At 42.5% G+C, this 23,213-nt stretch overlaps 1 pseudogene, besides 1 other annotated feature; it reads right to left on the bottom strand.

The window, feature by feature from the left end:
• Positions 1,897 to 2,191: an enhancer, noted in NCBI's record as "tiled region #7385; K562 Activating non-DNase unmatched - State 13:Ctcf". NCBI's record gives its function as "activates a minimal TATA promoter and a strong SV40 promoter by Sharpr-MPRA in K562 cells {active_cell/tissue: K562}" and the evidence as "EXISTENCE:reporter gene assay evidence [ECO:0000049][PMID:27701403]".
• On the bottom strand, positions 19,599 to 20,697 carry ACER2P1 (ACER2 pseudogene 1; annotated as a pseudogene).

Raw genomic sequence — 23,213 nt, forward strand, 5'->3', positions numbered from 1 at the left:
GGAGTGATCCTGAGGAACCCAACACACCCACATTGAAAAATATTCTAAGTGATTGTCCTATAATCTTTAAAGAATGTTGAGGTCATGAAAAATAGTCATAACAGCTGTGAACAATGTTGAGATCTTGAACTGCATTCTTTTCTGTAAAGGATGTTTCTGGGACAGTTGGCCAAACTTGAATGGCATCTCTAGATGATGGGTCCATGAAAGTTCTTTATGCCAACCTTGCAAGTTTTTGGTAAGTTTAGAACTGTTTCAAAATAAAATATGTATTTTTTTTTCTTTTCTGTTGTCAAGACGGGGTCTCATTCTTTCACCCAGGCTGGAGTGCAGTGGCAAGATCTCAGCTCACTGCAGCCTCAACCTCCCTGGTTCAAGCAATCCTTCCACCTCAGCCTCCTGAGTAAGTAGCTAGGACTACAGGTGTACGCCACCATGCCAGGCTTTTTTTTTTTTTCTTTTTTTGTAGAGACAAGGTGCTGTGTGGCCCAGACCGGTCTTGTACTCCTGAACTCAAGCAATCCACCCACCTCGGCCTCCCAAAGTGCTGGGATTACAGGCATGAACCATCATGCCCAGCCCTAAAGTATGTATTTTTTCAAAACTCTGGAAGCATTTTTTATTGGCTGCATAATATTCTACTGCACAATTATCTATCATAGTTTCTTCAGCCTAGTGGTTTTCAACCCTGGCTACACATGAAAGCCACTCAGAGACTTTTTATACATATATGCCTAGGTCTCAGTCCTAGAGATTTTGATTCAGTTGTTCTGATATGAAGATTAGGAATCATTATTGTAAAAATATAGCAAACCAAGTGATTTTAATGTGGAACCAGAAATGAAAATCAGTAGGCTAAGAAAAACTATAATAGTAACCAATCCCTTAATGTTGATTATTTAGGTTGTTTCTAGCCATAGTATGTCAATAAAAATATTTGTGCATAAAGCTTTTCCCTTATTTTGTATTATGTTCTTAATATTAACCCCAGAGATCAAAGGGTATGAATATTTTTAAGGCTGCTCTTGGTATTTTTCCAAATCGATTTTAAAAGCAAATTATCTGGTGTCTGTTCTACTGTATGTAGATAGAACATTCTCCATTTTAAATGTCTTTGTTAGTATAATAGAAAAAAGGTGCTATATTATTCTAATTTGTATTTTTAAACTTTCTCTAGAGGGTTAAGCATTTCCAAATTTTGTTGTGCATCAGCGTTTCCTCTCTGGGAAATAATTGTTATATTCTTTTATGTATTAGGAAGGTAGTCTTTCTCAGATAGTTTTATGTAAGTGCTTTATCATATATAAGTGCAATATTTCCCCAGTTTGTGGTTTGACTTTTAATTTTTGTCATTTTACTCTTTAAGAGAAAGAATATTTTCTTGGGAATGAGAAAATATGCTGCAGTAGCAAGAAGAGCTGGCAAATTCAAGGCTTATTCTATATCTGGAAGGAGTTCCTAAGACAGAGGAGGAAAAAATACTGCAAGCTGTGGCCAAGAAGTTCTGTGTTTTGTATTACCAAGGTGTTTTGAGGGTTGAAGAATATGTATCAAACCCAATAGGGTTTATTTTATTCTTATTCATAGGACTATGTGCCCTATTTTAAGTACCACCTTAGAGAGAACAACACATGCTAGAGTTATTTTTCTCCTTCGTCATAGAATGTTTGGAAAATCAGATACTAAATTAGTTGTAACACGGCCCTGAAAATAAAAACTTGCTAAAAAAAATGAGTTCACACAAAAAGTGTAGTGTGGGTTGGCAAAAACAGATAGAAATAAACAGATCATTCTGTCTATTATGGAGAAGATATTCTGGGCTAATCCCACTCACAATCACTGCAGTATTCAGTGTAATAGGGCAAGAAGTCTTATCACAAGATGTTATTTCAGAAAATGCTATAAAAAACTTATATCCCAAGAAGATAAGTGAATTGCACATAGACCTGAGAAATCTAGGCTAGTCTGAAAAAATCCATTCACCCCCTTCAGGGTTAATGGAAGGCTTCTGCCACGTGGGGGAGCTCAAATCTCACTTCCCTCAGCTATTACTCCACCCACAAAGTAGTTGATTACTAATATTGGATTGGTCAAGTCCAGGAACACGGTTTAGGTCACTATGCTTGGGCCTGGAACTTTCTCTTTGCTAAAGGAAAGGTTAAATATGGTTCCTGGTGGCAAAATTTCTTTTATAGCTCATTTTGTAGTTTTTTTTCCCCCCTTGATTGGCTTTTTAGGAAAACTGATTTCCTATTCAACTGGGTGATGAAACAGTTTGAGGGCTTTACTGAGACCTTTGTGCCCTGCTGCCCCCTGGAAGGTCTTGGGGGGCAATGGATGGTTTCTAAGAAGAAGAAAAACTTTTCATTATTTCCTTGCTTTAATTGCAATTTGATTGGAATTGCCTTTTCTTTCCATTATAGACAAACAATAAGGATGACTGTGGGCCAGGTAACATCCTCTGGGTGATGAGACAGAACTGATTGTAGTAGGTTAGGAATTAATTTCAAGGGCAAAGGAAGGCTTGTCTCAAAACAGACAAAACTTCACTGTAGACAATTTTGGACTGGTGGTGCTGGCATTGATGGACAGGAGGAACAACCCCAGGGATTTGTTTACCTTCTTATCTCCTTTTGTTCCCCCTGGGCTGAGATGAATCCTGATAATGGCAGGGATTTTTGAGCACTAAAATTATTCAATAAATCAGAGTTATGAAATTCATCACTAGACAAATGAAGATCCGTAAAAGCCATTTTCTTTCTTTCTTCTCTTTCTTCCTTTCTTTTTGTTCATTCATGCCTCTTTTCCTTTTGGAGGTGGTTGCATTTAAGATTTATCAATAATTGCTTTTCCTATTTAAAATTGATTTTTAACTATATAAATGATTTCCAAATACCTTCTTCTTCCAAAAAACTGGAAGCCTACAGCTAAAGCTGCCATTAAGTCATCTTTGAGCACTATCCAACGACCCTGATGCCATATCCCAGGCATTACAATAGAGTAGTAAGGAAGGGCTGGAGCCAGATTGCTTAGGTTCAAATTAAACTAATTAACTGGCTGTGCAACTTTATGCAAGTTACTTAACCTGACTATGCCTGATTTTCTTATCTGGAGGATGGATATTAATGCCTAACTCATAGGGTGATTTTAAGGATTAAATGTAATAATATTTGTAAAGCACTTAAACACCATATGGCATGTAGAAGCACTTAATAAATGTTAGCTATTGTTCTTCTACTTACTACTTGTGATATGTATTTCTTCCCATAGATCATGCAATGAGCTATGATCGCACCACTGCAGTCCAGCCTGGGCAAGAGAATGAGCTGCTGTTCCCTCCCCACCCCCCCAAAAAAAAGAGAGAGAGAGTGATATGTTTTGGCTGTGTCCCCACCCAAATCTCATCTTGAATTCCCACGTATTGTGGGAGGGACTGGGTGGGAGGTAAGTGAATCATGGGGGTAGGTCTTTCCCATGCTGTTCTCATGATAGTGAATAAGTTTCATGAGATCTGATGGTTTTATAAGGGAGAGTTTCCCTGCACAAGCTCTCTCTCCCTTTGCCTGCTGCCATCTATGTAAGATGTAATTTGCTATTCCTTGCCTTCTGTCATGATTGTAAGGCCTCCCTAGCCATGTGGAAATGTAAGTTCATTAAACCTCCCTTTTCTGTATAAATTACCCAGTCTTGTGTATGTCTTTATCAGCAACATGAGAAGAGACTAATACAGTAAATTGGTACCAGGAGTGGGGCTGTACCCTGCAAAGCCACAGGGGCAGAGCTGCCTAAGACCATGAGAACCCACCTCTTGCATCAGTCTGACCTGGATGTGAGACATGGAGTCAAAGGAGATCATCTTGCAGGTTTAAGATTTGAGGCCAAGCACGGTGGGTCACGCCTGTAATCCCAGCACTTTGGAAGGTCTAGGTGGGTGGATAACTGGAGGTCAGGAGCTCGAAACCAGCCTGGCCAACATGGTGAAACCCCGTCTCAACTAAAAATACAGAATTATCCAGGTGTGGTGGCACACACCTGTAATCCCAGCTTCTTGGAAGGCGGAGACAGGAGAATTGCTTGAACCCAGGGGGCAGAGGCTGCAGTGAGCTGAAACCATTCCACTGCACTCCAGCCTGGGCAAGACAGAGTGACACACTCTGTCTCAAAACAAAACAAAACAAAAAAAAGATTTGACTGCCCTGCTGGGTTTTGGACTTGCATGGGGTCTGTAGCCCCTTTGTTTTGGCCAATTTCTCCCATTTGGAATGGCTTCATTTACCCAATGCCTGTACCCCATTGTATGTAGGAAGTAACTAACTTGCTTTTGATTTTACAGGCTCATAGGTGGAAGATACTTGCTTTGTCTCAGATGAGACTTTGGACTATGGACTTCTGAGTTAATGCTGAAATGAGTTAAGAGTTTGGAAGGCATGATTGGTTTTGAAATGATTTTATAAGGGAGAGTTTCCCTGCACAAGCTCTCTCTCTCTTTGCCTGATGCCATCCATATAAGATGTGACTCACTCCTCCTCAACTTCCATCATGATTGTGAGGCCTCCCCAGCCACGTGGAACTGTGAGTCTATTAAGCCTCTTTTTCTGTATAAATTACCCAGTCTTGGGTATTTTTTATCAGCAGTGTGAGAGCAGACTAATACAGAGAGAGTGAGAGAGATAGGGAATCCTTAGGGGGAAATGGATATGGAACAACAGGAGTAAAGCATTAGATTGTGTTGCTGTAGAAAAAGAGGTCAAGAGGTAACCAGTATTATGAGTTTTCAGAATATCATTTTAGTATCATCAGTATGTGTGTGTTTGACAAAATGGTGTCATATGCATTTTATTCTACAGCTTGCCTTTTTCAATTAGCAGTGATGTTTGAGATTTATCCATGTTGATACAAATAGATCTAGTATATTCCTTTTAACTGTTATTGCTACTAATACTTGTCTGTTACAAACAGTGCTGCCTGGAACCTTTGAATAAGTGTCTACAAAGTGAATATGTGCCAGAGTTTCTCTCAAATAGAAATCTATATGTGGAACTGCTGGGTTCTAGGCTATGTGCAAATTACTTGAACCAATTTATATTCCCACAGCAGTATCTGAGAGTACCCAGTTCCTGAAAACCTTGTAAAAATTCATAAATAAAATTAAACCTTTGTGCCAATCTAAGGGAGAGAAACAGTATGTCATTGTTTTACTTTGCATTTCCCTGGTTTCTAGTGAGATTGAGCATCTTTTCATGTTTATTGGCCATTTGCATTTTCTCTTTCGTGAATCATCTGTTTATAATCTCTATTCAGATTTCTATTACATTGTCTGATTTTTTCTTATTAATCTATGAGATGATCTTTTGTTAAGTATGCTGCATATACTTTCTCCTAATCAGCTTTGCTTAGCTTTCAGCTTTTTTCATGGAGTCTTTGGTCATACAGGCCTAAATGTTAGTGCAATCAAGTTGATCGGCTTAGTTTCTCATTTTGGGGGGCTTGTTTTTCATTTTGCTTTTTGATTCTTGTTTAAGAAATCCTCTTTACCACATATTTGTAAGAATATTCATTTATATTGATCTAAATATATCTCTTTCTATACACACACACACATACATATTTTAAGTAGACCCTTTCTATACATGAATTTGTCATCTTGGAAAATATAAAGGCCTCTGGTGCCAGAACACTCTGGCTATAGATATTATGTTTGCTCAGAGGCAGAAGAAAAACTATAGATGAAGAAGAAAGATTCAAAATTTGATAGAGGATCAGAAAAGTATTGCTTGGGCTTTGGAAGTGGTGAATCTGAAACATGAAGGGAAACAGGACTAGCTTTAAGAATAGACTTTTTTCCTTGAGGTTAAGTGGGAAGAGAATATACTGGGAAGGATGACATCGATTAGACAAATGGTATAAGCTTACATGTTGTAGAGAAGGAATGACATTACATTAGGAATAGATGAAGTTTGGGAAAATATGTGAATCTACCCGAAAGAGATAGGGAATCTTAAATCAACTGGGAGTGGTGGTGTGTGCCTGTAGTCCTAGCTACTCAGGTGGCTAAGCAGGGAGGATTGCTTGACCCCAGGAGTTAGAGGCTGCAATGAGCCGTGACTGCTCCAGTCTGGGCGACAGAGCGAGAACGTGTGAGAGAGAAAGAGAGATAGGGCATCCTTGGGGGAGGGGCGGAAAAGATATGGAACAATAGGAGTAAAGAGGTTGTGCTGCTGCAGAAAAAGAGGTCAAGATACCTAATGCTAAATGACAAGTTAATGGGTGCAGCACACCAACATGGCACATGTATACATATGTAACAAACCTGCACGTTGTGCACATGTACCCTAAAACTTAAAGTATAACAATAATAAAATAATAAATAAATGAGGTCAGGAAAGCACTATTTCTGTTGGTCTGAACAGAAGCTAGAAAACACATAGAAGAAGACATGTTGTTTTTTCCTGCACCACTAAAGACTTGAGAAACATCACCAACAATAACTCCACTTCAGAAATGTGTTGATGGGAGGATTCTCCAGCTGACATAAGCGTGGAGGCAGAGGGAAAATCTAACCTAGGGAGGAGGACTGTTAGGATGAAACATTTCCAAAGTATAAAACAGTAGCATCTTCAGCATAAACGACATCATCAGACTTAAAACAAACCAACAAACCATCCACCCAGCCAACCATGGTATCTGGTGGGAGTTAGAGAAATAGAGAGAAGCAGGAAATTGGGTCTAGGGGAAATATAAGGCCAAGAACATAGGGTGTTTGGAGATGCCTCTTGTAAATAGGCAGAGCACTGTTGCAAGAAGGCAGAGCCTGCTCTCTTGGGGCTCCAGCTCAGTTTATATGTTGTGCTGCATTTGGGCACCAAGAATATGAAGATAAATATAAAAGCAAATGAAGAAGTTTTTAAAATGCAGAATGAACACAAATAGGAAGAAAAGAACCTAAGAAATTCCTGGGGATTGGTGAGAGCCTCAGTGCAAATTTCTGAATTGTGCAAGAAGCAGCACCAGTGTGTATAGGAGTGATGGACTTTTCAATGAAATTTGGAATTTAGTATCACAATTAATCTCCTGATCACGTTCCTTCTAACTGGGTTTAAGGTCATGAGAGTTGACAAGCAGGGACCCTGGACAACTGCATGGATTGATTGACATCCTGGCAATTCCGTTTTGTCTCCTTCCTCCTCTTCTTTGAATGTCTGTGTATTAGAATCTTACAGTGAATATGCGTTTGGGCATCATTCATTCCTCAGCTGACATACCTGCTACCTTTGATTAGATTATTTTTGTGTCTTTGAAAGCGGGGCCGTCCTTAAGCAAAACTGTGATGTTCTTCAATTTCTGATCCCTGATCTACAGATTTGTCTATAGCTGCACCCTTCTTTGTCTTCTTTCCATACTTCCCCATCAAGTGGTGTTGTGTGTATATCTTTAAAATTTTCTTCTCTGCTCCAAACTTAATAGACATAGCTGTGGAAAAACCCCCAAAGCTCAACATTTTCATGGGCCAGAAATGGAAACACTCAGTGGTAAGCTGGACTGCAGTATAGGCCTGCTGGGCTGTAGGTCCAGAAATAGGCAGAGTGAGGAGGGTGACTCCTGCAGGGCAATGAAAACCAAAGTGGCCCACATGTGGTGGGGCACCAGAGCCAGCATCACTGTGTAAAACCAAAGGCTAGGTGGGCCTGCCTGACCATGAAAGGAGGTTGAAACCACTCTGATCACTGCTTGAAGCTGCGGCTTTATAAAGCTGAATCTCTGTAGGGAACGGGAGGAAATAGAGCAAGCCAAGCAGCAGGATCTATTTGGCTCAGTAACTAGATCTACAATAGTCCCATCACTCTGGGCTAGGAGCAGCATACTTCCAAACAAGACCTGGTTCTGAATTTGCATGCTAAAGTTCTCCCTGGGGGCTGAGTGGAGGCAACTGCAAAACTTATACACAGGGAGAGGTGACCAGAGATCACGTAAACAACCCAAACAAAACTACAACACAAACAGCTCCACCCAAGATGAGTCTACCAACCCAAATATAAATAGTTTCCATTAGGAAAACTACCACTAAAAAAGACAGTAACAAAATCATCAATCAGGAGAAGAATCCGCTCCTAATGAAATACAAAATAATATAAAACTATCAAGTGATTTAAAAATTATGTTTTCAGGTCTTTAAGGGGATAAAGAAGAACAAGAAGTGATTATTTGGACCTAGCAACAAAAGTTATATGTCAATGAATAATACTAAAAAAATTTACTGGGGAAATGGAAAAAACTGAAGTCTCTCAAGCCCTTTTTGTATACTTAGATTTGACCGGCTAATTCTCATTCATTCAGTCAATCAATTCTACTTGAGATGTGTAATGTGCCGAGTGCTGTTCTAGGTGTTTGGCATACATCAGTGAAAAACACAAAGAATCTCATGGCTCTTGAGCTTATATTCTAGCGAGGGCACATAGTGAACAAAAATAAATAATTAAATCATCTAGTGTTTCTAAAAGTGATGGTGCTTTTGGGGAAAAAAAGAAAAGAAACAGGGTAAGAGAAGTGGGGAGCTCTGGAGTGGGCGGGTTGCAAATAAAAGTCTTATTTTATTCATTTAAACAGGTCATTTAAATGAATAAAAACTCTTATTTTATGCATTTAAACACACACTGGAACCTGTCAGGAGGGTGGGGAGGGAGAGTATCAGGAAAAAGAGCTAATGCATGCTGGGCTTAATATCTAGGTGATAGGTTGATAGGTGCAGCAAATCACCATGACACACGTTTACCCATGTAACAAATCTGCACATCCTACACATGTACCCCTGAACTTAAAATTAAAAAAAAAAACAGATTCTAAAGAACCTATATCTGATAAAATGTTAAGCCTGATTTAAGTTACTATATATAAAAGGAAAACATTTCATTTAAAAATGAATTCCATATTTTCATTCATCATGTAGGCTGTATTTAGCCTGAATTAGTGTCATTTTCATGTTTTTCTGCTTTTCAGTTGAGAGGAAGTTCATTGAAATCGTTTTTGCTTTCAGAAGAATATGTGTGTGGCTCACTAATATACACTTGTGTTTTCCTTAGCTCGGTAGATTCATAGCAAGGCGGGACTTGCCAGGCGAGCCATAGTGCTTGGAGCTGAAGGGAACCAATCACCACAAGACAGTGTCCTAAGAAATGGCCATCAAAGCTGGAAGTCCACCCGAGCCAGCAATCTGAGGAGACAGGGTAGGGAGCGAAGGTCCACATGGAAGCCCCAGGATGGGCAAAAAACATCAAGAAATTTGGAAATAGAGAATGGAAATGTCAACGAACAGTTCAGCTCTTCGTTGTGACCAGTGGTCTGTGACACAGCCCCCAGGAGATCCTGAGAACATGTGCCCAAGGTGGTCAGGCTACAGCTTGGTTTTTCACATTTTAGGGAGATATAAGACATCGATCAACATATGTAAGACGTACATTGGTTCAGTCCCAAAAGGCAGGATAACTCAAAGCAGGGGCTTCCAGGTCATAGGTAGATTAAAAGATTTTCTGATTGGCAATTGGTTGGAAGAGTTATATTATTGTCTGAAGACTTAGAATCAATGGAAGGCAATGTCTGGGTTAAGATAAAGCATTGTGGAGACCAGGGTTCCCATTATGCAGATAGCATCAATAGAAGGGAATAGATTGTAAATGTTTCTTATCAGACTTAAAGAGTCTGTTCTGTCAGTCTTTTTTTTTTTTTTTTTTTTAATTTATTTTTTTATTGATAATTCTTGGGTGTTTCTCACAGAGGGGGATTTGGCAGGGTCATGGGACAATAGTGGAGGGAAGGTCAGCAGATAAACAAGTGAACAAAGGTCTCTGGTTTTCCTAGGCAGAGGACCCTGCGGCCTTCCACAGTGTTTGTGTCCCTGATTACTTGAGATTAGGGATTGGTGATGACTCTTAAGGAGCATGCTGCCTTCAAGCATCTGTTTAACAAAGCACATCTTGCACCGCCCTTAATCCATTTAACCCTGAGTGGACACAGCACATGTTTCAGAGAGCACAGGGTTGGGGGTAAGGTCACAGATCAACAGGATCCCAAGGCAGAAGAATTTTTCTTAGTGCAGAACAAAATGAAAAGTCTCCCATGTCTACTTCTTTCTACACAGACACGGCAACCATCCGATTTCTCAATCTTTTCCCCACCTTTCCCGCCTTTCTATTCCACAAAGCAGCCATTGTCATCCTGGCCCGTTCTCAATGAGCTGTTGGGCACACTTCCCAGACGGGGTGGTGGCCGGGCAGAGGGGCTCCTCACTTCCCAGTAGGGGCGGCCGGGCAGAGGCGCCCCTCACCTCCCGGACGAGGCGGCTGTCCGGGCGGGGGGCTGACCCCCCCCACCTCCCTCCCGGACGGGGCGGCTGGCCGGGCGGGGGGGCTGACCCCCCCCACCTCCCTCCCGGACGGGGCGGCTGGCCGGGCGGGGGGCTGACCCCCCCACCTCCCTCCCGGATGGGGCGGCTGGCCGGGCAGAGGGGCTCCTCACTTCCCAGTAGGGGCGGCCGGGCAGAGGCGCCCCTCACCTCCCAGACGGGGCGGCTGGCCGGGCGGAGGCTGACCCCCCCACCTCCCTCCCAGACGGGGCGGCTGGCCAGGTGGGGGGCTGACCCCCCCACCTCCCTCCCGGACGGGGCGGCTGGCCGGGCAGAGGGGCTCCTCACTTCCCAGTAGGGGCGGCCGGGCAGAGGCGCCCCTCACCTCCCAGACGGGGCGGCTGGCCGGGCGGAGGCTGACCCCCCCACCTCCCTTCCAGACGGGGCGGCTGGCCGGGTCGGGGGGCTGACCCCCCCATCTCCCTCCCGGACGGGGTGGCTGGCCGGGCTGAGGGGCTCCTCACTTCCCAGTAGGGGCGGCCGGGCAGAGGCGCCCCTCACCTCCCGGACGGGGCGGCTGGCCGGGCGGGGGGCTGACCCCCCCACCTCCCTCCCGGATGGCACGGCTGGCCAGGCGGGGGGCTGAACCCCCCACCTCCCTCCCGGATGGCATGGCTGGCCGGGCGGGGGGGCTGACCCCCCACCTCCCTCCCGGATGGGGCGGCTGGCCGGGCGGGGGGCTGACCCGCCCCACCTCCCTCCCGGACGGGGTGGCTGCCGGGCGGAGATGCTCCTCACTTCCCAGATGGGGTGGCTGCCGGGCGGAGAGGCTCCTCACTTCTCAGACGGGGCAGCTGCCGGGTGGAGGGGCTCCTCACTTCTCAGACGGGGTGGTTGCCAGGCAGAGGGTCTCCTCACTTCTCAGATGGGGCGGCCGGGCAGAGACGCTCCTCACCTCCCAGACGGGGTCTCGGCCGGGCAGAGGCGCTCCTCACGTCCCAGAGGGGGCGGCGGGGCAGAGGCGCTCCCCACATCTCAGACGATGGGCGGCCGGGCAGAGACACTCCTCACTTCCTAGATGTCTGTTCTGTCAGTCTTAAGGTCTCTGTGTTGATGTTAATGCTGGTCAGCTATGCCTGAATTCCAAAAGAGAGGAGAGTATAATGAGGCATGTCTGACCCCCACTTCCCATTATGGCCTGAACTGGTTTTTTAGGTTAACTTTGGAATGACCTTAGCTGAGAGGAGGGGTCCATTTAGATGGTTTGGGGGCTTAGAATTTTATTTTAGATTTACAGAAGCCAGAAAGTGGGAGAGAGAAACAGAGAGAGCCATCTGTGGCTGCTATTTAGAGGGTCCTGTGGCCTGGGGTTTTGGTAGGGAAAAAAAGAGCTTTGCCCTGGCATGGACATGTATATTTCCTTCTTGTTTTTAAAAAAAATACATAATAGTCTTTCTGATGCAACTTGAAAGCAAGAATTTTTTAAAAAATCTGCAAAATGATTGTTCTAAGTATGGTCAGAAAAAGATGAATTCTACAAGGAAGGTGGATGCTTCAATTCTCTTGAGGCTGCTGCTTCTCCTGCTAGATCTTGATCAATAATGTTACCTGATGGGCAAAGGTAGGGCCAGTGGAATATACACATACTTCTAGATATGATTTGAGGAGCAGGCACTTGAATGGCATCTCTGTCCCCAAATTGCATCTCTGTCACTTTCCATCTTGCCTGAAATTCCAATTCATGTAGATTAAGATGTTTTCTTTAGAATATCCACATTAAAATGCAATTGTGTCACATAAGAATTCATCTACAAATTAATTTGGCAAACAAAGAACAGAATCTGGAGATCAAGACATTGAACAAGAAAAAAATGGGGAAAGAGAGTGGAAAAAAGAGACAAAAGTAAAACCAGAGAGAGCAGCCCAGAAGATGTCCCCTCCTGGGGAATTGTGATGAAGACTTTCAGAACGCCAGGAGGATGTAGAAAATTATCCAAAGGGGGCATATAGGGAAATTTTACTAATAATTTGCTTTATTTCTGGACCAAGCATTTATAGATAGCTTGTTTTAAAATTTGGCATCAATTTATAAACATTATTTTATTTTGTAATTTCTAGGGATTAAAAATATCTACTATGGAAATAAAGATAGAGTAGACCTTAGAGATCCAGGAAGGACTATTGTATATAACTTTACAAACTGCAAGAGAAGGTGCCAAGATCTTTGTTAGCGTAACTTTAATTCCAGCTGGTCATAGAATGTTCCACGGCTTGGAAGTATTTCTGGGACAGATTCGGCATTCAAATAAAAGGAAATTTACAGATCAGATAATCACTAGGGGATATAGATGTTGGGAGGTTGGGAGTGATCAGGGAATGGGGATGATCAGTTTTTTTCTGAGATTTTAGACTGAAGTGCCCAGTAGCCAGTTTGGAAGCCCTCAGCCTCAGGTAGAACCATGAGTCAGCAAAACATATAAATAGTAGACCAGTTAGGAATCAGATGATGGCCATTTCCTAAGGAATGATAGATGCTTTAGTGTACTTTCAGATAACGCATTCTTTGGAGTTCACAAAGTGGTGAAATGTCAACTTAAGAAATTGTTTAAGTAAATATCCATAAGTACTTGAAAATCATTAACTTTTTTTTTTTTTTTTTTTTTTTTTAGACAAGGTCTCCCTCTGTTGCCCAGGCTAGAGTGCAGTGATGCAATCATGGCTCACTGCAACCTCTGCTTCCCGGGCTCAAGAGATCCTCCTGCCTCAGCTTCCTGAGTAGCTGGGACTACAGGCGTGTGCCACCACACCTGGCTAATTTTTGTATTTTTTGTAGCGATGGAGTCTCACTATGTTGCTCAGCCTGACCTAGAACGCTTGGGCTCAAGCAATCCACCCACCTTGGCCTCCCAAAGTGCTGGGATTACAGATGCGAGCCATCATGCCTGGCCACATTTTTTTAATGTAAAAATTACTACTCTTTTTTTTTGTTTTTAAATGGCATGTTTCTTTGACTTGGTCTGCTTATTGTCCGTTACCCTGATTAAAGGTGGCTATGCAGGTGGAACTGGGAACTGGGTACCCAGAGTTGGCAGCTCATGGATACCTCAGCATTTATCCTCTTCCTTTTGTCTTTGTCAGGAGGAAAAGACTTTTCCTCTACCCTTTTATGTTCAATAACAGGGGGCCTGTAAATTAAACCGACAAAAGACAGACAAACAAGAGGAAAAGGCTTGTTATTCATAGGCATATAGAACTAACAAAAGAAGTAGCTAGCCTGATAAATAATTTTAATAAGTTTATATACCTACCCCTTTAGGAAAAAGGGAGGCGGTAGAAAAGACTTCTATGGGAAGAACAAATAGATTTCTTTAGGAAAGAAAAATGGGTTTTAGGAGAACAAGTAGGAGATAAGAAAGTTTATGATCACGTTTGTTTATGCAGGAACTCTCAGTCTTTTTGTCTTCTTCATGGCCATGAAACTCCTCCAGAGAGGAGATTTATGGTACATGTACTCTCAGTTTTCTTCTTGGGAGTAGACTTGCTCTAAAGAAGGAGTATATGGAAGCCTCTTTTCCCACAAGTTGCTGCTTTTAGTCATGTGAGGGAAGCTCCTAAAAGTCTTCTTTCCATGTCTGTTAAATCTCAAATATCTTCAGCTTAAAATAATTTTCATACCAACTGTAGGGTTCCAAGTGGGTCCCCATATCCCTTTTATATCTTAGACTAATCCATAGCCACATTGACATTCCTCCGTGTCTTAAAATTTTTTAAATGTCTTTATGTCAGAAAACTTTCAGTTTTAATCATAGAAAACCCAACTCAAATATATTTTAAGTATGAGGGAGAATTTCTTGATTCACCTACCTGGAAAGTTCAAGAGTAGATGTTACCAAGCTCTCTTTCTTCAGCTATCAGCTTTGCTTTCTTCTATATTGGCTTTTTTCTCAAGCAAACTCCCTCTTATGGTGGGAAGGTGGGAAGGAAGCCCCTCTCCCAGTTGCTCTAGCAAATGTGTAGAATTAGCTCAGTGAGCTTAAGTGAATAATAGACCCATCAATGGACCAATTACTGTGGCCAGTGTGGTTCCAACTAGCTAAGCCCAGGTTATATGCCCACCCCTGGACCATGCTGTGGGCTCAACTTTTCTGAAGCTCACATATTGAAAGTAGGTGAAAGACGAGTTCTGAAAAATTTCACTTACCAGAAGAAGGTAAAATGGATTTTAGTGGCCAACACCAAGAGATGTTCTTTATCTTTTTTTGTTTTAATGTTTGGTGTATAGTTAAATAGTGTCCTTAGGATTTATGTAAAGTTAGTATTTATTGGATGTTGGAGATGCAATATGATTCAGGCTGTGCGAGGATATAGACCTGTCTGGGAGTTTCTCCACAGCTAATGGGTAGGTACAAGGGTCTCCCAAAAGAAAACAATGGATAAGACTCCACAAGATGAACAAAACTGAATTGAAGGAAAATAAGTTCCATACGTCTAATACACAGCATGGTGACTAGGTGACTACAGTTAAAAATACTGTTATTTTATACTTGAAGTTTGTTTAGGAGTAGATCTTAATTAAATGTTCTCACTACAAACAAAAAATATATGTGAAGTGATGAGCATGTTAATTAGCCTGATTGTGGTAGTCATTTCACAATTAGACACATATCAAAACATCGCGTGTACTGTAAATATATGTATATATATAATTTTTATTTGTTATACTTCAGTATAACTGGAAAAAAAAGATGTGTTCCCTGAACACCTACCCCCCCATCCAAAAAAAAAAAAAAACCCAAACTGAATTGAAGGAAATTATATTTGCAGTCTCTCCTGACAATAGTCTTCCTAATTATTATTGGGTGTGGTTTGAATGATGACAGTGTTACTGGAAAGGGGTCCGGATGCAGACCTCAGTAGAGGGTTCTTGGATTTCACGCAAGAAAGAATTCAGGGCAAGTTGATAGAGTAAAGTGAAAGCAAGTTTATTGGGAAAGCAAAGAAAGCAAAGGAATAAAAGAATAGCTACTCCATAGACAGAGCAGTCCCGAGAGCTGCTGGTTGCCTTTTTTTTTTTTTTTTTTTTGAGACGGAGTCTCACTCTGTCGCCCAGGCTGGAGTGCAGCGGCTCGATCTCGGCTCACTGCGAACTCTGCCTCTCGGGTTCACCCCATTCTTCTGCCTCAGCTTCCCGAGTAGCTGGGACTACAGGCACGTGCCACCAGGCCCGGCTAATTTTTTTTTTTTTTTTTTTTTTTTTTTTTTAGTAGAGACGGGGTTTCACCGTGTTAGTCAGGATGGTCTCAATCTCCTGACCTTGTGATCCACCCACCTCGGCCTCCCAAAGTGCTGGGATTATAGGCGTGAGCCGCTGCGTCCGGCCCTGGTTGCCCATTTTTATGGTTGTTTCTTGATGATATGCTAAACATGGTCCTAAATTGGGCCTCTAACCCAATCTCATCATTTACCCGGGTACCCCACCACTTACCCCAAATCGGCCAATCAGTGCTGCAGTCTATTTCCTTTGGGTGGGGGTGGGGGTGGGGGTTGGGGGTTTCCTTCAGTATCATCCCTAACATGGTTCGCCATAAAGACGTTACCAGACCCCCCCCCACTTATCCAAAGTGAGCCTTTGGGTCGGGGATTTCCGCACTATAGTCCCTTCAGTGGTTCACCAGAAAGAGGTTACTGGACCCCCCCACTCACCCAAGTTAGCCTTTCGGTCGGGGGTTTCCTTAGTATTGTTGCTTCATGTCCATACCGACCCATGGGGTCCGGCAACATCTTTCTGGCGACCAGGAAGCGACAATACTAAGGAAAACCCCGACCCAAAGGCTAACTTGGGTGAGTGGTGGGGTCTGGTAACAATAGGAGGGAGAAACTGAACTGGGCAGGAATTGTGAAAAGTACTGTGCCATGGACAGGGACATACTAGGTTGCTGCAAAAGTAATTGTGTGGGTTTTTTTCTCCCCATTCAAACTAATGGCAAAAACCGCAACTACTTTTGCACCAATCTAATACTTCATATAACCTTTATCAAAGTTGAGTCCTGGAGCTTGGTATCATGAAATCAATAAAGTTTCCTGAGTATCCATTAGTCAGACTAGGCTCCGACTTCCTCATGTTATCCTAGTAACCTCAGGGTGTTTATTAAGGAAGGTATCAGGAGAAGTAACATAATTAACAGGACCTTTCTATACTGTGTAAACTGGTTCTCAATAAGTGTGTGTGCTTTGTCTTGATCTGTCACTTTCTTAAGGAGATGGTATTATTCCCCTTAGCTTTCTGCACATGGAAGGTGATTGATGAGACAAATGGATTCCTATAATAGTAAAAAGACTCATTATCACACCTCTCTCCCATCACCGATTGACTATATTTCTGGACATCCCCCATTTTGGTTGAGTTATAGCCAATATCAATTGGGATGACTCATATTTTACTCTTAGTATTTACCAGTGACTTTTCCACCTGACATACTGCAATCATAGTTTGACTTAAACACAAAGGGCCATTCCAAATAACAGATGAATCCATAATGCATATTTGACTCCAGTTCAGGTCATTATAACTTTTTCATTTCTTTCTTTTTTTTATTATTATACTTTAAGTTCTAGGGTACATGTGCACAACGTGCAGGTTTGTTACATATGTATACATGTGCCATGTTGGTTTGCTGCACCCATTAACTCGTCATTTACATTGGGTATTTCTCCTAATGCTATCCCTCCCCCAGCCTCCCACCCCAGGACAGGCCCCAATGTGTGACATTCTCCTCCCTGTGTCCTAGTGTTCTCACTGTTCAATTCCCACCTATGAGTGAGAACATGTGGTGTTTGGTTTTCTGTCCTTGTGATAGTTTGCTCAGAATGATGGTTTCCAGCTTCATCCAAGTCCCTAAAAAGGACATGTACTCATCCTTTTTTATGGCTGCATAGTGTTCCATGGTGTATATGTGCCAAATTTTCTTAATCCAGTCTATCATTGATGGACATTTGGGTTGGTTCCAAGTGTTTGCTATTGTGAATAGTGCCACAATAAACATACATGTGCATGTGTCTTTATAGTAGCATGATTTATAATCCTTTCAGTATATACCCAGTAATGGGATGGCTGGGTCAAATGGTATTTCTAGTTCTAGATCCTTGAGGAATCGCCACACTGTCTTCCACAATGGTTGAACTAATTTACACTCCCACCAACAGTGTAAAAGCGTTCCTACTTCTCCACATCCTCTCCAGCATCTGTTGTTTCCTGACTTTTTAATGATCACCATTCTAACTGGCGTGAGTTGGTATGACATTGTGGTTTTGATTTGCATTTCTCTGATGACCAGTGATGATGAGCTTTTTTTCATATGTCTGTTGGCTGCATAAATGCCTTCTTTTGAAAAGTGTTTCTTCATATCCTTTGCCTACTTTTTGATAGGGCTGTTTGATTTTTTTCTTGTAAATTTGTTTAAGTTCTTTGTAGATTCTGGGTATTAGCCCTTTGTCAGATGGGTAGATTGCAAAAATTTTCTCCCATTCTATAGGTTGCCTGTTCAATCTGATGGTAGTTTCTTTTGCTGTGCAGTAGCTCTTTAGTTTAGTTAGATCCCATTTGTCTATTTTTTTTAAGTTAATAAAATACAATTTATTTCACACACTGGGGTTCCACAAAGATTTCTTACTACAAACAGGATTCTGCTCCTGAACAACCTATACAATTTGATAACCACAGATGTAGCATAAAGTTATTCATTTTTAAACTCTAAATTCAGTTGCTTATTGGGGTTTTCACCTTGGATCTTGTACAAATTCTAACTAGAGTAAGAGTTCCTGGATGTGTCAAAAATCGTCACCTTCCCAACTCTTACATATGTAGGACAGTGACATCACTCCTGCCCACACAAGAACACACCTGTCCTGCCCTCTCTCAACAATGGAATGTTACAAAGCAGGACACACCTGAGTTAAAATGAGTATCCCTGAGGTTGATAATTCCCACCATGCACCTTGAAGACGGTTCTTGAATCTTTCATTCAGCCCGATGAAGAGAAGATTCATTGTAGCCGGTGTCACAGTAGGTGAGAAAAATTCAGAAGGCAACAGATTTGCGCTGCTGCACCAGCGACCCAAACCAGCCCACGAGTGCATAGTTACTGCCAGCACTTGAGAAAAGTGAGCCATTGGATACTCTGGGAAATCCAGAAAGCACCTTCTACTGCAAGAGTGAAGAGCATGATGCCCACAGAAAACACAACAGAAACAAGAAGTGAGACTCTTGAGGGTAATTTCCAGAATAGTACAGCATACTGGAGGCTTCGAATGAGAAAAAGTTTCCAAAAACTTCATGTTTGCTCCAAATTTTGAACCAGAACCCCCACCACAATTGTGAGGAGCCCTTTGGTAAACTTAATGGAGGTCAAGTCTTAAAGATGGTGGGTCTGTGGGAATGTTCATGCCATAAGTCTTCTTCTCTGTGGATTTGAGGCTGCTGAGCTGGGGTGGGAAGGGGAAGCGGAAGTGATGTCAGTGTTTAAAAATTGTGCTCTTCTTCAAGAATGGCCTAAAGTGGAGTGTAGGTTTTGGCAGAGAGGGTTTTACTCATTAGCTGCACGTTTATCTGAAGTCTCTCCATCTCTCCATCTCTCCACAGAGGTAGTAGTAAAAGGATTCGCAGATGCATGTAAAACCTGGGTTAGTTGAGAAATGCAAGTGAAAAACTAGTCTTTTTAGCCACAAGTCCTGTGTGTGTTTCATCTGTTTGGTTTTGTTTAAGGACAATTACCCCAAAGGAAAATCTCTGGCATCTTCCATCACAGAGTCAGAAGGTCTTGTCTGTCAGAGGGTCTGTCTGTCATCAGTAGAGTCCACTCCAAGGGCGCCTGGGAATGGTGGGGTCTGGAGCAGGCCAGCTTTCTCCAGGAAGAGATGCATTGTACAGGGCTGGTTCCCCCAAGGGACTGCTCTGCCATGGCCATTAAGGACACAGCCCAACAAGTCACTGCATCTGGAAGTGATGCTGAGAAAGATGCATCTAGTGTCCCTAAGCCCTCCATTTTCCGTTTTTGGGAAAGGAATAGACACTTTTCCCCTTGCACAGTGGAATCCAGGTAGTCCACAGACACATTAGTGAGGAGGAGGGGATCTTTTTAAAAATTACAGAAAATCCAGAAATCCTAAGGAAAAGATTAACAGATATGACAACATGAAAGTTTAAAACCAGTATGGCACAAAAATATTAACATACTGAAAGACAAATGGGAAACTGCAGGGGGGCAGGGAATATTTGTACCATATGACAAAGCTTAAATCCCTACATACAAAGAACACTAAAGAAATTAAGAGCCCCAGCAAATAGATTTTTGAAAAGATAGCCCACTCCCCAACTATTTGAACTCCCTTGGCTGTCTTCCTAGCAAAGGAAGCCCACTGCATGAGGGGCGATAAGCAGAGAAGCCAGCCACCATCTTGCCATCACGTGGTCTTGACTGATGATTTCTTGTTGGCACACAGGAGGGACACATAGGGGACACCAATGAAGGCCCATTTCTCGCTGGGCCAGAATTTGATGACAGGGCCTTGCTCAGGAATCTCTGAGGCAGCATCAAAGTAGGCAAAGCATACACAGCCCAGGTAGGCAGCAAGGCAGATGAGGATGTGCCACATGCAGTGCAGGTAGGGGAAGTTGAAGGATGACAGCAGCTCGCAGAAAGCTCGGTCACTGATCCAGCAGAACAGGGCCAGGGTCCACCAGAGGCCCGAGAAGAGGCCCAGCTTAAACACACGCATGTTGTCACACCTCTTTAGCTCTGTGATGAGCAGTGCAGCGCAAGGAACTCCCAGGGTCATCAGAGAGATGTTGTTGATGGCAGGCTTGACAAATGCCAGGCACGTCATAACTGCAGACAGGACACAGACCACCACCTTGAACCTACCCTGGTCATTCCGAAAGATCTTTGGTAGATACCTTCTGGGGAACCACATGACCGAAGCACACATCAGAACCCAAAGGACTGCAAGTTCATCAAGCATCTGACCCAGGAAACTAAGGGTTGCATGGAAGTAGACGGATCCAATTCCCGCTACAACCAAGAGTCCAGATTAAGTAGATGCCGCTGTTGAAGCATGTTGCATACTGACGAAACAAGCACATGCAGATGGGCGGTAAAATGAAAAATAAGACATTGCTGATCATGTTATAGAACTCGGCGACAGCAGGCACGATGGTGTAGTTGTCCTCGCGCCAGTCCACCTCCGAGCTGCCAGCCTGCAGCTGGTCCCACCAGTGCGGGGCGCCCATGGCCACTCTGGGGCATTGGAGCAGCTGCTCCTGCAGCTGAGAAGAGCCCAGAGCTGCTGCGGAGGCAAGACGCCGCGACAGCCAGCGGCGAGAGCGGCTTTATGAAGTACCGGGTAACCGCCGGATGGGCGCCTCTCAACCGGCCTCCCGCGCTCCGCCCCACCTCCCCCCCATTTGTCTATTTTGGCTTTTGTTGCCATTGCTTTTGGTGTTTTAGTCATGAAGTCCTTGCCCATGCCTATGTCCTGAATGGTATTGCCTAGGTTTTCTTCTAGGGTTTTTATGGTTTCAGGTCTAACATTTAAGTCTTTAATCCATCTTGAATTAATTTTTTTATTAGGTTTAAGGAAGGGATCCAGTTTCAGCCTTCTACATATGGCTAGCCAGTTTTCCCAGCACTACTTATTAAATAGGGAATTGCTTGTGTGTGTCAGGTTTGTGAAAGATCAGATGGTTGTAGATGTGTGGTGTTATTTCTGAGGCCTCTGTTCTGTTCCATTGGTCTACATCTCTGTTTTGGTACCAGTACCATGCTGTTTTGGTTATTGTTGCCTTGTAGTATAGTTTGAAGTCAGGTAGCATGATACCTCCAGCTTTGTTCTTTTTGCTTAGCATTGTCTCTCCAATGTGGGCTCTTTTTTAGTTCCATATGAACTTTAAAGTAGTTTTTTCCAATTCTGTGAAGAAAGTCTTTGGTAGCTTGATGGGGTGGCATTGAATCTATAAATTACCTTGGGCAGTATGGCCATTTTCATGATATTGACTCTTCCTATCCGTGAGCATGGAATGTTCTTCCATTTGTTTGTGTCCTCTTTTATTTCATTGAGCAGTGGTTTGTAGTTCTCCTTGAAGAGGTCCTTCACATCCCTTGTAAGTTGGATTCCTAGGTATTTTATTCTCTTTGAAGCAATTGTGAATGGGAGTTCACTCATGATTTGGCTCTCTGTCTGTCTGTTATTGGTGTATAAGAATGCTTGTGATTTTTGCACATTGATTTTGTATCCTGAGACTTTGCTGAAGTTGCTTATCAGCTTAAGGAGATTTTGGGCTGAGACGATGGGGTTTTCTAAATATACAATCATGTCATCTGCAAACAGGAACAATTTGACTTCCTCTTTTCCTAATTCAATACCCTTTATTTATTTCTCTTGCCTGATTGCCCTGGCCAGAACTTCCAACTCTATGTTGAATAGGAGTGGTGAGAGAGGGCATCCTTGTCTTGTGCTGGTTTTCAAAGGGAATGCTTCCAGTTTTTGCCCATTCAGTATGATATTGGCTGTGGGTTTGTCATAAATAGCTCTTATTATTTTGAGATACACTCCATCAATACCTAGTTTATTGAGAGTTTTTAGCATGAAAGGCTGTTGAATTTTGTTGAAGACTTTTTCTGCATCTATTGAGATAAACATGTGGTTTCTGTCATTGGTTCTGTTTATGTGAAGGATTAACATTTATTGATTTGTGTATGTTGAACCAGACTTGCATCCCAGGGATGAAGCCAACTTGATCATGGTGGATAAGCTTTCTGATGTGCTGCTGAATTCGGTTTGCCAGTATTTTATTGAGGATTTTTGCATTGATCTTCATCAGGGATATTGGTCTAAAATTCTCTTTTTTTTGTTGTGTCTCTTCCAGACTTTGGTATCAGGATGATGCTGGCCTCATAAAATGAGTTAGGGAAGATTCCCTCTTTTTCTTTTCATTGGAATAGTTTCAGAAGGAATGGTACCAGCTTCTCTTTGTACCTCTGGTAGAATTAGGCTGTGAATCCGTCTGGTCTTGGACTTTTTTTGGTTGGCAGGCTATTAATTATTGGCTCAATTTCAGAGCCTGTTATTGGTCTATTCAGAAATTCCACTTCATCCTGCTTTAGTCTTGGGAGAGTGTATGTGTCCAGGAATTCATCCATTTCTTCTAGATTTTCTAGTTTATTTGCTTAGAGGTGTTTATAGTATTCTCTGATGGTAGTTTGTATTTCCATGGGATTGGTGGTGATATCCCCTTTATAATTTTTTATCGTGTCTATTTGATTCTTCCCTCTTTTCTTCTTCATTAGTCTTGCTAGCGGTCTATCAGTTCTGTTTATCTTTGCAAAAAACCAGCTCCTGGATTCATTGATTTTTTGAAGGTTTTTTTGTGTCTCTATCTCCTTCAGTTCTGCTCTGATCTTAGTTATTTCTTGCCTTCTGCTGGCTTTTGAATTTGTTTGCTCTTGCTTCTCTGGTTCTTTTAATTGTGGTGCTAGGGTATTGATTTTAGATCTTTCCTGCTTTCTCTTGTGGGCATTTAGTGCTATAAATTTCCCTGTACACACTGCTTTAAATGTGTCCCAGAGATTCTGGTACGTTGTGTCTTTTTTCTCATTGGTTTCAAAGAACATCTTTATTTCTGCCTTCATTTCGGTATTTACCCAGTAGTCATTCAGGAGCAGGTTATTCAGTTTCCATGTAGTTGAGCTGTTTTGAGTGAGTTTCTTAATCCTGAGTTCGAATTTGATTGCACTGTGGTCTGAGAGATAGTTTGTTGTGATTTCTATTTTCCATTTGCTGAGGAGTGCTTTACTTCCAACTATGTGGTCAATTTTGGAATAAG

This window comes from Homo sapiens, chromosome 2, assembly GCF_000001405.40.
Source record: "Homo sapiens chromosome 2, GRCh38.p14 Primary Assembly".
NCBI lineage: Eukaryota > Metazoa > Chordata > Mammalia > Primates > Hominidae > Homo > Homo sapiens.